At 42.4% G+C, this 17,574-nt stretch overlaps 1 annotated feature.

The window, feature by feature from the left end:
- Positions 9,943 to 10,173: a silencer, noted in NCBI's record as "fragment chr11:20234917-20235147 (GRCh37/hg19 assembly coordinates)". NCBI's record gives its function as "represses an EF-1alpha promoter that drives an FKBP-Casp9 reporter gene in an ReSE screen in K562 erythroleukemia cells {active_cell/tissue: K562}" and the evidence as "EXISTENCE:reporter gene assay evidence [ECO:0000049][PMID:32094911]".

The following is a 17,574-nucleotide window of genomic DNA, read 5'->3' as shown; positions in this document are numbered from 1 at the left end:
AGGGAACAGCATGTGCAAAAGCTTGAAAGCATGACACAATGACACATAGTAGTTTGTGTCAGGTACTATAAGCAAGTCAGAAAAGCTAGCAAATTGGGAACAGAGAAGAAAGATGTAGGAAGGATGCTGGAAAGGGAAGAAGCCATCAAGGAAGGTCCCCTGAGGGGGCCCTTGTTTAAAGTTCACACAAAAATCAGTAGTGGTCCTGCCTGAGGTCCCAAGCTTCTAGAGAATAATCAAACACAGGTATCACCCTCAGGGTACTCCTAGGCTAAATCCACACATTGTTATATGGCAAAAGTCTTCCCAAAGTAGAGGACATTTGAGCAAAATCTTGGATGATTTATAGGCAGAAAGACAAAGGGGCTAAATGTTTTGAGCAAGGGAACAGTACGTGCAAGAGCTTGAAAGCATGACATGAGGTAGTTTGTGTTAGGTACTGCAAGCAAGCTAGAAAAGCTAGAGAACTGGGTGCAGAGAAGAAAGAGGTGGAAAGGATGCTGGAAAGGGAAGGAGCCATCAAGGAGGGCCACGTGTTCTACACTAAGGAGCTTCGTGTTTATCCTGCAGTGCACAGAGCTGCTGAAGGGATTTACTCCAGAAAAATCATATAAATGGGAATGGTGGATGAATTTCAGAAGGCCAGGTCTGGAAACAGGGAGACCAGTTAGGAGGCTGGTGCAATAGTTGGCGAGGGGGCTAGTGAGAAAGCAGTGGCAAAGGCAATTGAACAGAGGAAACAGACTGAGTGACATTTAAGGGGTGGGATGGAGACAATCCGAAGACCATAGGTCCTGTTTGCCCCAGATGATTTCAGTTTACATCTGTTGTCTGGCCTAATTATTAACAGTGCCTCTTGCACCCATAAAAATGTTCAGGTTTGGGTGATAAACTGTGTGTTCACCCCACCTGTAGGGCATAAAAGAAAGAGGAATCTAGGGTGTCCTTCAGGATCTGGTGTGGACATCCTTGAAGATCATCGTCTCAGTTAGTAGTGTAGAGTAAAAAGGAGCAGTTCTGAGCCAAAAATAACAAGACTGTTCCATACTCGCTTTAAGGTGTTTGTGGGACATTTGAGTGAAATTACTGAGTAAGTAGTTTCAAATGTACTACAGTATGGTATGCGATGTTACAAAATATCATAAGTGACTTTAGGGCCATCTGTCATTGTTACATAATTCTTTCCCCTAAAATGTTCTTCCAGTCCTTAAATGTGTGAAGTTCTACACCAGAAACTCAAAATCATTGATAGAAAGCTAAAGGCACATCCATGACACATGGAGAGAGTAAAACCAATGGATTTTACTGATTGACACTGACAAAGGAATCTGGTTTCTTTTGCCAAATCCTTTTCCAGAGGAAACTCTCCTGCCTGGGACAGAAATATTTTACAGAAATGGCAGCATCCCAGGCTCTCAGAGGAGAGACTGAAATTATAATATACAATAAGTCAATAAAGGAGCTTAATTTTTCATCTAGTCATTTGAGGCCAAAGCATTCCAAAACATAAAGTGGAAATTCACAGACTGCAATTAAAAACTACACTCCTCATTCTGGATTGAAAATTAAATAGGAAGAATAATGTAAGATAAGCTGACAACTAGCTTCTTTCATGACTACTGCCTCTCTCTATGGCTTCTTAAAATTTAGCTTGCCTTCTTAACTAACCCCACCTCAGCCCCCCAACTACACATGCACATACACACACACACCACTGATACTTGGGTTGAACTTCAGCAAAGAACCAATTTGTCACAGCAACAGCTGAAACAAGAAGTGTCAGCAAGATTGATTAGACTTATTATTACAGGCTCTAGCACCCATCAGAACCATGACAACCATGTCTTCTCCTTACAGCCTGTGCTGGGGGAGTAGTAACCAGCCCAAAACTGACGGCCACGGAAGCCAACGACACCCATGCTCTCCTGGGCTACTGGAAACAGGCAGCCCACTCCACACCCCACCAACTGAGCCCCCATCTGACATGACCACCCTGCTCATCCTGCCCTATTACCAGCCTCATTAGGCCCTATTTACGCCTGCAACAATCCAAACATCACACAGCAGCACCATCATAATTGATTAAGGAGATCTACCAAAGAGCAGTTTTGCTCAGAGATGTTTTTGGAATTCCAGTAGTCCACCCTAAACAGGGAGGGCGCAGAGTCATAAAGAGTGTGCTCACTAGGAGATATACCTAATGTAAATGATGCATCAATGGGTGCAGCACACCAACATGGCACATGTATACATATGTAACAAACCTGCACGTTGTGCACATGTACCCTAGAACTTAAAAATATTATATGTGTGTATATATATATGTGTGTGTGTGTGTGTGTGTGTGTGTGTGCTCACTCCTCTCTTGCTTTTAACTGGGTGAGGTTTAGAGAAGAAAGAAAATGGGGAGGAGGATGGGAAATGCCTTATCTAGAAGAGTGAAAAGCAGCATGAGCTTCAGGATACTCTCTGCTACTAACAAGTTGGGTGAACACAGGCAAGTCCCTTCCACTTGCTGATTCCTAGTTTCCAAGCCAGAAGTCTGGAAGCAACCCTTTTTCTCCTTATTCATCAGGCACCTCAATTCCCAACTATATTTTTATTAATAAAATCTGCCTTGGTTTTAAGCATCTGTTACTCTACAACTTAAAATCCTTCATTGGCTTCTCAGTGATGGGTAGGAAAAAGACTCACCTCCCTTTTGAGACATACAACCTTTTAGGATTTACTCCTATAGCAGAAATAGGAAAATAATGACCAAATCAACTGGACTTTCCTGACACTGATCCTTCTCCTGGATTACCTCATCTTTTAACCCCATATCCTCTGGATGCTACGGTCAACCTGCATGGCTGGATCCCACCCATCACTTAGAACTGAAATGTTCATATATATTCTCCCCCTTTTGAACTCAGGATCCCCTAACTATCTTAAAAATTATTGAGAACTCCAAAGAGATTGTGTTTATATAGATTATATCTGTCAGTTATTACTCTATTAGACATTAGAACTGAGGGTTTTGAAAATATTTGTTAATTCAATATCCAGAAAACCATAACTTGTTAACATAAGTAACATATTTGGGTAAAAATAACTATATTTCCAAAAGAAAAACAACAGGGCATAAAGTAACATTGTTGTGCATTTTTGCAAATTTCTTTTAATTTCTGGCTTAGTAAAAGACAGCTGGATTTTCATATCTGCTTCTGCATTAAATGTTACAATATTATATGTCATGTAGCCTCTGGAACACTATACACTTGTAAGACAATGAGAATGAACAAATCAAATTGCACCTTAGTATTACTATGAAAATAATTTTGAGCCCCTGAAAGACTCTTGGAAACCCCCAGAAGGCCAAGGTCACATTTTGAGAACTTCTGATCTAGTGCAAATGGGAATGAGTTAAACTTCTTAAGATCAAAGACCATGGGAAGCAGTAGGGCAAACCAGGTAACACGCAGATTTAGAATCAGGCAGAACTGGATTTGAATCTCAACTTTGCCACTTACATGCTATGTAAGTTACATAAGCCTCAGTTTACTCACTTCTCAAATGGGAATAATGCCATCTAAAAATAGGGCATATAAGTGCTTGCCACAGCCTAGGACATGGTAATTATGAGAAAAAGAGAGAGAGTGTGTGTCATTAAATGACCTCAAAAAGTTATGTGCTGTCCTGACATGTCCTGGCACACTTCGGCTCTTGCTATCTAGTTTAAGGGGGAAAAAGGTACAAATGTATATGGTATATTATGGCAATGGTATACCATTGCCATTCCATGCTATGCCATACCACGCCATGCTATAATATATTATGCTATGACATGACATAGGATGGTATGATACAGTATGGTACAGCATGGTATGGTATGGAATGGTGTGGTGTGGTGTGGCATGGCATGGTATGATATATGGCATGGCATGATATATGGCATGGCATGGCATGATATAGTATGGTATGGTGTGGTGTGGTATGGTATGGCATGGTATGGTATATGGTATGTCATAGAATACCATGGTGAAGTTCCTGCATCCGGGGCTGGCCGTTCGTCAGCTAGTTGAAAGAGCAGTTAAAGCAGACCACAGAAGGTAATGCACGTTTACCTGAAACATGTTATCTTAATCTAAAATGTGTGTAAAGATTCATCAATTTTCCGAAATGGGGTCAATGCTTTTGAAGACAAGTCTTCTCATTGGTGTTCTGTGTTATTACTCTTATATAAACCACACCCAAAAAATATCAGCTATACTTTCAAACTTCAGTTTTTAAGTGTAAGGAGAAATTAAAGACACTTGAGAAGCAATATGAATACAAAATCCTTTTTAGATTTTTACTATTTTCCCCAAAATATCCCCAGTTTTCTTTAGTTGTATAGCAGTGGCTTTTAGTGGTCAACTTTGACCTTAGTCCCAAGATATTAGACTTTATTTTTATAGAAACAACAGCTGTCTTTCATTGTGCACTTAAATTTCATTGACTTATCTAATATTTAGTTAAGTTATATATCTACAATAGCAAGAACAACTGGCATAAACGGGTTTGGGAACAAACAATTGACTCTTGGTGAACATACAACTCACCTGATGAGGGCAGACATGCTTGGGTGTGCTACGGAGTGGCCAACAAGCCAAGAGTGTTCACGGTGCCTCAAGCATAGGTCTGTATATTTAATAGAGAAAATGGAAAGTGATGGTTTATCAGAATTGGTTACATGGAGATTGCTTAAGAGAGTTTCTATAGATCTGTCTATACCATAATGGAAAAATATTCAGAAATCTCAAATGGAAAATACTAGTTGCAGAATACCTAGCTTCACTTCATTGAAAACAAACCAAAAAATCTGTATATGTCCAAATGATATAATGCATAGAAAAAGGTCTGGGAAGATGCACACCACATCCTTGGTTGTAGTGGTCACCTGTGGGGCAAGCAGAGATTTAGGATTATAGTAGAAAGTGAGTTTCACTTTTTTCTCTAGATACTTCCATATTGATTGAATTCTTCTACAGTGGTGATTACTTCTATAATAAAAAAATAAGTAAAAGAGTAATGCAAAGCCCTCCCCAAATAGTAAAATTAGAGGATAGCAAAACAGCTGTCCTCAGCCGGCTAAAGCAAACTCCAAAGTCCCCAGTGTTTGTCCTTGATGCACCCTCATTCCACTTCTGTGGCCTTCCCCATGTGGGTCCCAGTGAGCTAATTCTGCACTGCCACTCTTCACTGCAGTTAAAGGCTGGCCAAGGAAAATGACTTTTATCAATTAATTGTACAAATATGTCCCCTGATAAGAAAGGAAAAGTGCTATGAGAACAAATAGAGAAACCAGACCTATTCAGGAAAGGCATATAAGGGTGAACTGAGATCCAAACTAGAAGTTAGCCCAGAAAGGAGATAAGGGGTGGGAAAAGCATTCCAAGTAGAAGGAACAGCATGCATATGTAAAGACCTGGTGATGAGAAATGCTGAGCATGCTGGATATTTGAAAGATGAGCAATGCGACAGAATCATAGAAAGAAAAGAGAGGAAAGTGTGGTAAAAGAAGCATCTGGAAGAGTGGGAGCCTTGGGGGTGGAAGTAGCTCATTCTCAGTGTCATAGGCCAGGCTAAGAAATTTGGTCTTTATCTTATGAACAGTGGGAAGCCATGAAAAGATTTTAAATGGGGAGTGACATGATCAGATTTACTTTTTGTAAAGATAGTGCTGGTGGAAACATGAAACAGTTCATATCAAATGATACAATTTTTCTAGCTGGTGGTTACCCTTGATAGGAAGGTTAGTGATTGCAGTAAGGCACTAACTAGGGAGCTTCTGGGGACTGGTAATGTTCTGATTCTTGATCTGGGCACTGCTTACATTGGTGGGCTCAGTTTGTAAAAATTCAGGTTGTACATCTATGACAGGTATACTTTTTATAAATATACTTCAATAATAATGGTTTATTTTAAGAAAAGATGATGCTGGCTCTAATATGGACAACCAAGTCAGAAGCAACAAGAGTAGAGGCAGAAAGGCCAGTTAGAAAGCAACTGCTGAGGTAGAGGCAAGATGGAGACTTGGGCTAATGCAGTGACAGTGGAGATGTAGACAGTGGAGATGTAGGGGTGGATTCGAGAGTGGCTTAGGAGATGATGGGGAGTAGGGATGTCAAGAATGTCTCCTAGATTTCCTCCTATATAGTTTGATGGATGCTTATACCATTCACTCAAAGAAAACAAGACACTAGAAGAAGACAAAACTGGTTCTTGTTGGTGCTGCTATTGTCTTAAGGGCAGGGGAGGCAGGAATGCATGAGATGAAATTTAGGCATGTTGAGTTTGAGACAGCATGAAAACATCTAAGTGGAGATGCTAACAGCCTGCTAGATATGCAAGAGCTGATAGGGGATATTTGGGTTAGAGATTTATACTGGAGGATCATCTGGGAAGTTGAAGCCATGGCATAGATAGCCTCAAATATGGAGAAAGTCTAGTGTTTGAAGGGAAGGGAGCTCAAGAACTTTGAAAAATGTCAGCATTTAAAGGACTTCATGGAGGAGGATGAGCCAATAAATGAGAGGGAGAAAGAAAAGTCAGAGAGAGAGGAGGAAATCCAGACATGTTCTATTTGGGGAGCCAAATAGAGAAAGAGAAAGAATGCTTTCAGGACAGCATGGTGAGAAGTGTTTACTGCTGTTGAGAAGTCAAAATAAAATATGAAAATGCTCATTGGAAAAAATATGCCCTTTGGATTTAGTGGCTTTTTTTTTCCAATGAGCATTTTCATATTTCATATTGTTTTCCAATGAGCATTTTCATACAAAAGCCTCTTTTGTAGGCAACTGGTGAACACTGCTGATGATACGCCTGATGGTGCCCACGCCCAGGCCAGCACAATGAGCATTTAGAGGTCACCAGCGGCTTTATCAAGTACTCTTTTGATAGAATGATGAGGCTACATGCTAGCCTGGAGTGGTTGAGAGGTGAGTGGCAGGTGGGAAAATGGAACAGTGAGGATGAAGAGAGCTTCTGAGAAGTTTGGCTGTGAAGAGGGAGGAAGGGGAGACAGTAATTGCAGTAGGTAGGGTTTTCTGTTGTTGTTGTTGTTTAACATGGCACAGAATTGAGCACATTTAAACAATAAAGAGAAAGATCCAGGAGATAGAGATTGGAAACCCAAGAGACGGAAAAGGAGAAACAATAGGGACATTTCCTGAAGAGCGAGAATCCAGTGGAATTGGAGCACAGGTAGAGGTTTTGGTTTTAGACAGAAAGTGAAATATTCCCCTATTATAGAGAAGAGGCAGAGGATGAGTACAGAAGCTGGTGGGAGTGGAGGCAGCAGAGCAGGAAGTTGGGAGAGTTCTCATCTGATAACTCCTATTTCTTTCCAAAATGGGGCCATTTGCTGAGTGTGATGGGGAGGCAATTGTTACACATACCCTGATAGTACCACAGAAATTCCAATGTTAAACACCCTCAGTCCAGCGTTTTACCTCCCACTCCAGTGTTGCACGCGTTCATTGACAGCTCACACATAGGGATGTAACAACACAGGCATTCAGGTGTTACACACATGCTCACATCTTACGGAGTAGCTCAGGTGCTGTAGTGCATGCACACACATATTCATCCACCTATTCAGGTGTTCCCACGTAATGGCTGCCAAAGAGGTGGCCAATCCAGTTGTGAACAATGCAGGGAGGCTCTAAAGCTCTGGCATGATCTCCCTGATCAGTCACCTATTTTCCTCCCTCTTTCCTCAGAAGAGTTCCACCTTTTCTCTTATATGGTTTTATTTTAACATCATCCAGTGTGTTTCTGCTTTCGGAGTACATGACATTCACTAGATGCCAACGGGTTGTAATCTAGCTAAGGCCTAATCTCCAGAAGCCTCTTTTGTAGGCAACTGGTGAACACTGCTGATGATATGCCTGATGGCGCCCACGCCCAGGCCAGCACATGGTCCCCGAGTGCTATGTTTAGGAAAACATGGCAATTATTGTTACGAGGCATTTCAAGGCTCTAGTGACCTTGTGTGATCACAGGTCACAGTCTCTTGACTATTGTCATTATAAATGGCTTTAAATAGCCTCTCCTTGTTAGGCTTCCATCTCCTTATTTGTAAGTTGAGGGGCTTGAATAGGTCATTTTTCAAGTCCTTTTCATCGATATCATTCTACGGTACCAAGCCTCTTTGGCTTTGACCTCCAAAACCAGTTTTTCAATGGGGCAATGTCCACAGACAGGCCAGATCATTGAAGAAAAAGAAACCAAGGCCAGATATGTTTTTTTCCCAAAGCCCAAGAGATTACCAAGCACAAAGCAAACGTTGGACCCAGAAGTTGCTAGCCACTTAGTGTCTGTGATAGCTAGCTTTATGTGTCAACTTAGCTAGGCTATAGCAACCACTTATTTAATCAAACTCCAAGCTAGATATTGCTGTATGTTCTGTAGATGTGATTATGATATATAATCAGTTCACTTTAAATAAAAGAGATTGCCCTCAATAATATGGATGACCCTCATCTAATCAGTTGAAAGCCTTAAAAGCAAAAACTGCAGTTTCCCAAAGAAGAAATTCAGTCTCAAGACTGAATTCTTGAGAATTCAAGAATTCAATAACAACAACTCCTACCTTAGTTTCCAGCCTGGCAGTCTGCCCTATAGATTTCAAACTTGCAGCTTCCACAATCTCATGAGCCAATTTTTAAAAATAAATATCTTAACACACATATATGTGTATGTATATATATATAAATACATATGTATATGTATACATGTGTATCTATCTACATCTATATTTATAGCAATTGTCTAATCTAATCTATTTATCTAATTGGTCTGTTTCTCTGGAGTATCCTGACTGATGGTATCTGAGAGGTCTGCAGGGAGAAGGGACAGTTGGTGATGTCCATTCTGATGATGATAAATGCAGAGGATGAAAGTGCAGCTGAGTTTTTAGTTTTCATCTCAGAAAGAAGCAAGAACACTAGTTCATAGGCTTTGATTCCAAAATCCTGTAAGACTTAAAATCACTGCACTATGTTCAAGTTGACCACTTTTGTTACTTTCCCCGTTTCTGCACATTAGCAGTGATAAAACTGTTCAATGCCAAAGTATTATGTCTAGTTTCAGATGTGGCATAAAATGTGCAAAAGAGTGAGATGCACCTGACTGCAATTGTACTTAGGAAAGGGAGAATCTCAAAGGGAAGGGCTAGGGGCAGGACCCTAAGTCCCAAGAGCAGGCTGAGACCCCAAATCCATGGCCATCAGGAACAAAATATACTGGAAGGCACATTCCAGGCAAGGCCCTAAGGGTTAACAGCAGAAAGGCCTCTGATGTCTCCCCTTCCCTAAGAGTCCACAGTTTTTAGCACTGATTAGAGGGTATATAGAGATAATCCTCATGCCCAATACTGCTTTTCTCTTCTGTGCTGACTTATAGGATGGTAAGCATCTAGCAGCAAAAAAACTACAAACGAGGCTGGCAGGTGTACTCATGATACATGTATGCTTTCCCAGGCAGTCATTCTAAGAAAGCCTTTATCTGTCATGGCCAGCTCCAGCAGGTGATGCTTTCAGTTTCCACTAATTCAATTTGTGTAGAAATAAGCATAGCTCATTGGCTAAATCTGTCTTTCTCTTAGAGAGGAACTTGATATGGCTTGAAGTGGCCAGCTTAATTCTCATCTCCTATTACAGTCAGGAAGCTATATTTTTATTTGGTTAAAATTAAGAAATCTGATATCTGGAAAAGACCTTAGAACACATCAAGTTTAGCCTCTTCTTTTAATGGTAAGGACCTGGAAGTCCACAGAGAAACACACCCAAATAAGGCAACTGAGAAAATAAGTGGTGGGGATCAGAAATGACACAGTAAGATATCAATCCAGGGTGCTCAAGTGTGGGGTCAGGTGGAAGTGAGAATGCATGTTGAGGGTGATGACATGGATGTTCATCTGCCGGTAGGAATGGCATCCTGGTCATCTGGTCCAAACTCTCCCCCAAAACCCCTACACTATTTCCAATCTCTGCTTAAATACTTTTCAGGATGAAAGTCTCACAATTTTTTTTTTTTTTTTTTTTTGAAACACAGTCTTGCTCTGTTACCCAGGCTAGGGTGCAGTGGCACGATCTCAGCTCATTGCAACCTCTGCCTCCCGGGTTCAAGCGATTTTTCTACCTCAGCCTCCCGAGTAGCTGGGACTACAGGCGCAAGCCACCACGCCTGGCTAATTTTTGTATTTCTAGTAGAGACAGGGTTTCACCATATTGGCCAGGCTGGTCTCAAACTCCTGACCTCAGATGATACGCCCTCCTCGGACTCCCAAAGTGCTGGGATTACAGGCGTGAGTCACTGCACCGGGACCAGAAATGGTAAAAAGGCTAACGAAGGTCAAACAAGAGACAGAATCACGGGCAAAAGGGGCACATTAAGGGTTTTCTGGACGTCAGGAAGGGACTGCGGGGGCAGCTTTAGAAGGGGCCGGAGCCCGCCCCTGCACGCAGCTCACGCAGAAAGCGCCTGGACACTTCCTTAGGACCTTTTGCATTCTGGCCGCTCGACAAAAACACCCTTTTGAAAAGGTGGTATTCACTGGGCTGTCAGAATTGAGGAACACCAAATTAAGGCCAACAGAACCGTGTTGGGCTCAGAACTGAGCCTTGGTTTTAATCCTGATGCTTTGGATTAATACCAGGTGCTAATTAGTTGACCCAAGACAAAGGTTTGGATTATTTTCAGAAAGAATTAAATCTGTCTCCTTAAAATTTCTATCTATTGCCCCAGTGATTCTTACCTTGCCTGCACATTAGGCTCACCTGTGGAACTTTTTAAGTGTCCTGATAGGCAGGTTACACAGCTGGCCAATCAAATCAGAATTTCTGAGGGTAGAACCCAGGCATTTGCCTAAAGCTCCTCAGTGATCCTAATAGGGAGCCAAGATTGAAAACCACTGCATTTGGCTCCATTCTTGTATTAGTCTGCTGGGGGGTGCCATAATAAAATACCTTAGACTCAGTGGGTTAAACAACAGAAATTTATTTTCTCATAGTTCTAGGGGCTGGAAGTCCGAGAGATGAGTGCTGGCAAGTTTGGTTTCCCCTGAGGCCTCTCTCCTTGGCTTGCAGAGGGCCGCCTTCTTGCTGTGTCCTCACTTGGCCTTTGCTCTTTGGGCTTGCATCCCTGGTGTCTCTCCCTTTTCTTAGAAGAACACCAGTCACATTGAATTAGGGCCCCAGCCCTATGACTTCATTTAACTTTAGTTACCTCCTTAAAGACCCTTTCTCCAAATATAGTCACATTGGAAGTTATGGCTTCAACATATGAATTTTGGGAGGACACAAGTCAGTTCATAACAGTTCTGCTCATTGACTAGAACTGGTTGGGTCAGAGTACCTTACCCAATGTGCTGTGGCACCCACCGGTAGCATCATGTTAGGCTGTGAGGGTGGCCACTAGAGGCCCTGGGATAGCAACCTCTGGCTTTATGGGATCTACTCAAGCACCCAGTGAGTTGAGCATGGCCTGGATTTCTCCTTTCACAGTCAGCTGCAGGGCACCCACGGAGATACTAGAGGAATTTCAGGTGCCCAAAGAGCCCAGAGCTAGAGGGCGGGAGACCTCTGTAGAGAGCTACAGACCAAGGAGGCGGGAGCTAGAGACCACACAGGTGCATCTCCAGGTGGTGGTTTCTACCCTCTCCTTTCCCATATGTCAGATGACATATTGTAACAAATGAGCTGGTGTGTTAGGCAAGCAGACTCTGCAAATTAGAGTTTCATTATTTTGAAGTGCTTCGTATTTATGTGGCTAGAACAGTACCTGAACATAGTAATCTTCAATAAATATTTGTTGAATGAACACATAAATACAGTAAATGAAAACATTTGATTGGATTTGAAATTCATTTAAAATACCAAAGATTTTAGCACTAAAAGTTCTAAAATTTAACTGCAATTATTAAAATTTTTGAATGATGATAAAAATAGTTTAACTTATGTTTCCTGTGTGAATACAAGTTTTCACTGATTGTGTTTTTCAGGAATTTTAAGAGCTTATTGTTAAGTAGTCTTTGTTAGAATTGTATAAGCTATTTCAAGCTTAAAACCATTTTTTTTTCAAGTCTTGATCATTGAAGCAATGTTCCCCCTTGTTCCCAAGCAATATTCCCAAACAAGTTTCTCATCACATTTTTAAGAGATTTTATTTGAAATATATTTTTGACGTATTTACTTGTGTTACATATTTGAGATTTAAATCCTTCCTAATACTTTGTATTTGATTTTTCTTATAATCGTATCATATATAGAAAAACAGTGAAAAATTTCACCTTAGACATCTGCAAATCTCCTCTAGTTTATCCAGCTAAATCTTACAAATATTATCAATTAGTATATGTGTTATGACACGAAAATGGATAGAAAACAGTCTTCTACTTCTCTCAGTAAATGGCACCCCCATCTAAATTACTAAACCAAAAACCTGGGAGTCATCCTGATTTTTGTTCCTCCTGCTCTAAATCCCATCCTTTCAAAATTATCCCCACTGCCCACTCCTTTCCCTTTGACTAAGCCACAATTATCTCTTGCCTGGACTACTGCAAAAGACTCCTAACTGCTCTGCCATCTTCTGCATTTCTTGCCCTTCTACAATTTCTTCTTCTAATGACAGCCCGAGTGTCCTTTTAAAACCTTAAATAGATCAAGTAATGTCTCCCCAACTCTCTGAACTTTTTAAAACCACCCAAAGTCACTTCAAATAAAACCTAGGCTCCTTCCTATGGCCTAAGGGGCTCTACATGAGCTGGCTTTTGTCTTCCACTCCAGCCTTATCTACTGTTCTTCCATAGCATGTCATGCTCCAGGCACACTGGCCTTCTCTCTGATACCTGGGGAGAGAATACCCCAAACCAAAGACCAAGGCCAAGTGGAGATACCAAGCAAGCAAATAGATATACAGAGAGTCTAGGGTTCAGGGGGACACTGAGCTGGAGGTATAACTCTGGGTGTCTAGTAGAAACCTACAAGGCTGGAGGAGTGCACCCAGGAGGTGAAGCCTAAAAAGAACAGTACTCAAGACTGAGCCATGGGGCTCTCCAACATTTTGAGGTCAGGGAAATGAAAAGGCATCTGTTAATTAGCTCAAGTGACTCTTTCTATAATGTGTACATAGATCAAAACATCACACTGTACTCCATACACACATACAATTATTTATCAACTAAAAATAAATTTTAAATTTTAAAAAGGAATCTGTAAGGCTCAGAAGCAGCAACCAGTGGCATAGGAAAAAAATCAGATTTGGGGGCCTTCATAGCACTCTGAGAAGTTTGTTAAAAATATACATTTTTTCCCCATAATCTATCCACCGGAGTTTTGTTTCAGTATGAAGATGGACACCCAAAATTTGTTTGTTTGTTTGTTTTTTAAACAAGCTTAGTGTTGTTATCATAAGAGAAACCTGGGAAACGCTGCGTTAGAGCTTGGCCCAATCAGAAGAATCACCTGTGTGGGGCCTTGTTCAACCATGTACCTTCCAGGGACCATATCCCCCAAAACACTGAATCTGGATCCCCAGGGGACTTAGAGCTTGGCAGCTCATCATCCAAACTTCAAACTTATTATTCCTTCTTAGGACTTGTTCCAAAACAAGCCACATGGTTTTGCTTCGGAGCCGATGAATCAGTAGTTCTCGCTCCATTTACAAAGGCTGATATGCTATTTCTACCACTGGAGGTGCTTTCTCTAAAACCATGTGGAATTTATTTCAGTTCATGTATGGTATGTTAGGGTCTTGGCCAAGAGTCTTAAGTAGGAACTAGAATTACAATAAACAAACAAATGGGAATCTCTCATGTAGACCTAATGGTAAAACTAAGAGCTTGAGCTCTTCACCCAAGCTTCTCAGCTGATCTTGGCTTTCAAAAGCACAGGGAGTTATTTTCTCTGAGTCTCCGGAACCACATTTACTTTTCCCAAGTGTTCTGAATCTGATGATGCCAAAATGGTACTTAACAGCCTCTCTTACTGATGTCCCCACACTTCACTCAACCCAACCTGCAGACAGCTGGCTTTTCGGATTCTGCATTGAGGGTCTTTCTACATTTCCTTACTCTGGATGTTAACCATTCCCCCTTCCATTTGCTCAAAATGGGAAACTTTTTGCCCTTTCTGACAGAAATCATTCCTTTTTGGCCACCTGATGGGTACTTGGGGTTAATTAGAAAATCCCCATCAAGAGTTCAGAGGCCAATATCAGCTGTCAAAATCCCACATTCCCCTCTTTCCTCTCTTTCAAGTGCAAAACAACCTGTGTCTGAAGATGTGCCGGAGATAAAAGGGCACACACCAGCGCAGGGGGCTTTAGCCCAGCCCTATTCACGGCCCCACCACCATGAATACAACAAAATCTCAATGAAAGTTTTAATCTCCCCACTGCATTCAGCCTAAAGAGAAAAGGGCTTCCTTTTAACAATTTCCCCCCTTAAATCTTTTGTGTTGCAATGCTCCTGAAAAAAGGCGGAGATTTCACTCTGACCCCGCAAGGGCTTTACGCCAAAGAAAGCAATGCACCTCAAACCTTTTGTGCTGAAATAAGAAGGGCTGCCGGCCCGAAGCAACCGGCTCAAAAGCAGCAACCCAGTGGTGGGGCTCGCGGGGACAGAGAGTGCCTGCGTCTCTGCAGACCCCGGCTCTGGCCTCTAGGCCAAAGGGCCTAAAAGGATTCCTGAGTATGATCAGGCCAAAGGCCCCATTGCGCCTCAAAACTGCGGCGTCTGGAGTGGGAATGCGACACGGGTGCATGATTTCCCAGCCCAGAGTCTGAAATGCACCCACAACCCGCAGGCCAGTAGACCCAATTATGCCCTTTGTTTTCACATTGGACTGAAAAGAACAAGAAAGAACAATTGCAACATAAACTCCACTCAAAGGCCAGCCCTCTCCAAGCACCCTTTGGCGAGAACTTCTGACGGCTGAAGGGTTGTTCACAAGACCCTGGCTGGTTGCTGTGAACCAGATTCCAACCGCTCCACCATGCCTACCTTTGGGCACAGGCTCCAGGCCACTCCGGGAGCTGGAAGCGGGGAGCTCCCTCCCGCCCTCTGCAAAACACCTTTTGGTGAAAAGCGCCTCTCCCTCTCAGGCTCGCCTTTCCCAAGAGGACTTGGGAAGAACTTGCAGGGCGCCGCTTCGGTCTTTGGCTGCCTTCGCAATGACTCCCTTCGCACTTTCTTAACTGTTAGGGGTGCTCTTGGCAAAAAACGCAACCCCCCAGCTCTTCTAGCATAAACAAACACAAATGTTTGTTTAATAAATCTGTATGACGTTCTTGTCTTCTTTATTTCTTCCAAAGAGCTGCCCTGAATGTTTGAAATTAGAGCCTGGTATTAATCCAAAGCATCGGGATTAAAACCAAGGCTCAGTTCTGAGCCCAGCACGGTTTTATTAGCCTTAATTTGGTGTTCCTTAATTCTGACAGCCCAGTGAGTACCACCTTTTCAAAAGGGTGTTTTTGTCGAGCGGCCAGAATGCAAACGGTCCTAAGGGAGCGTCCAGGCGCTTTCTGCGCGAGCTGCATGCAGGTGCGGGCTCCGGCCACTTCTAAAGCACCCCACCGCGGTCCCTTCCTGACGTCCAGAAAACCCTGAATGCGCCCCCTTCGCCCGTGATTCTGTCTCTTCTTGTTTGATCTTCGTTAGCCTTTTTACCATTTCTGAACATGATTTTTATGGAGGGTCAGAAACAGCACAGCAGATACTTTGCCACTGTCCATGGCAAAATTCTTTGGTTTGTTGTTTCTTTTTAAAATTTGTTGGTAAAAAGCCTCCTTTCTGGCAGGGCCCCGGGGCTCACGCCTGTAATCCTAGCACTTTGGGAGGCCAAGGCGGGTGGATCATCTGAGGTCCGGAGTTCGAGGCCAGCCTGGCCAACATGGTGAATCCCCGTCTCTACTAAAATACAAAAATTAGCCTGGTGCGGTGGCAAATGCCTGTAATCCCAGCTACTCGGGAGGCTGAGACATGAAAATCGCTTGCACCAAGAGGCAGAGGGTGCAGTGAGCCGAGATCGCGCTACTGCACTCCAGCCTGGGTGACAGAGTGAGACTCTCCCTCAAAAAACAACAACAACAAACCTTTCTCCTTCCCTGACCAGTTCTTTTTGGTGTGCATGGCTAGAGGTGTGTTTATCTTCAGGACAGTGACAGACACTGGGATAGATTTAAAAGATATCTCAAATTAGAGGTTTAAAGATACAGCGATGAGAAGGGAGTAAAGTGAGGGTGACTGTGGTACAGGAAAGGGGTCCTGATCCAGACCCCAACAGGGGGTTCTTGGATCTCATGTAAGAAAGAATTCAGCGCAAGTCTGCAGAGCGAAGTGAAAGCAAGTTTATTAAGAAAGTACAGGAATAAAAGAATGGCTACTCCATAGATACAGCAGTCCTGAGGGGTGCTGGTTGCCCATTTTTATGGTTATTTCTGGATGATGGTATGTTAAACAAGGGATGGATTATTTATGCCTCCCCTTTTTGGACTACATAGGGAAACTTCATGACTTGCCATGGCATTTGTAAACTGCATTGGCGCTGTTGGGAGTGTAGCAGTGAGGATGACCAGAAGTCACTCTCATCACCCTTTGGGTTTTGGTGGGTTTTAGCTGGTTCTTTTACTGCAGCCTGTTTTATCAGCAAGGTCTTCATGATCTGTATTTTGTGTTGACCTCCTAACTCATCCTGTGACTTAGAATGCCTTAACTATCTGGGAATGCAGCCTAGTAGGTTTCAGCCTCATTTTACCCAGCTCCTATTGAAAATGGAATTGCTCTGGTTCACACTCCTCTAACATTTCTTCTCTCCCTTTTATAAGAGAATCATTAATCTTAAGGGTTGTAGAGGGAGGAAGATCCATCTTCTGTAACTTCTTTAGGCTGAATAGGGGTGATGATATTCCTATCTCACTATGAGCGTTTCTTGCATTCAGGGTAGAGAGGAGTTCAATCAGAAAGTATCGCTATGGTGGCTGGGCGCGGTGGCTCATGCCTGTAATCCCAGCACTTTGGGAGGCTGAGGAAGGTGGATCACCTGAAGTCAGGAGTATGAGACCAGCCTGGCCAACATGGTGAAACCCCATCTTTACTAAAAATACAAAAATTAGCCGGGTGTGGTGGCAGGAGCCTGTAATCCCAGCTATTCGGGAGGCTGAAGCAGGGAGAATTGCTCAAACCCAGGAGATGGAGGTTGCAGTGAGCCAAGATTGTGCCATTGCACTCCAGCCTGGGTGACAGAATGAGACTCCCACTCAAAAAAAAAAAAAAAAAGAAAAAAGAAAAAAAGAAAGTATCAGTATCTTAAGGTCTATTCACAACTCTTGAGTTTTGACAAAAGGTGATATCTGGAATATTAATAAATGTTTAAGAAAACATTCAGTAAGTTTGTCCTGTATTTCTACACAAAGAGTAGAACAGTAATATATTCCACAAGAGTAATGTAAAATAAGTAAAGTTATTCTAAGTAAATTAAATTAGAAGGCTTTTCATGAACTGGGCAGCTGTTAGAACTAAGTTGGTATGGGGTTGTTACTTGATTCTAA

Source organism: Homo sapiens, chromosome 11 (assembly GCF_000001405.40).
Source record: "Homo sapiens chromosome 11, GRCh38.p14 Primary Assembly".
Lineage (NCBI taxonomy): Eukaryota > Metazoa > Chordata > Mammalia > Primates > Hominidae > Homo > Homo sapiens.
The sequence above is the reverse complement of the archived record's forward strand: the minus strand, read 5'-3'. Positions and strand labels throughout refer to the sequence as shown.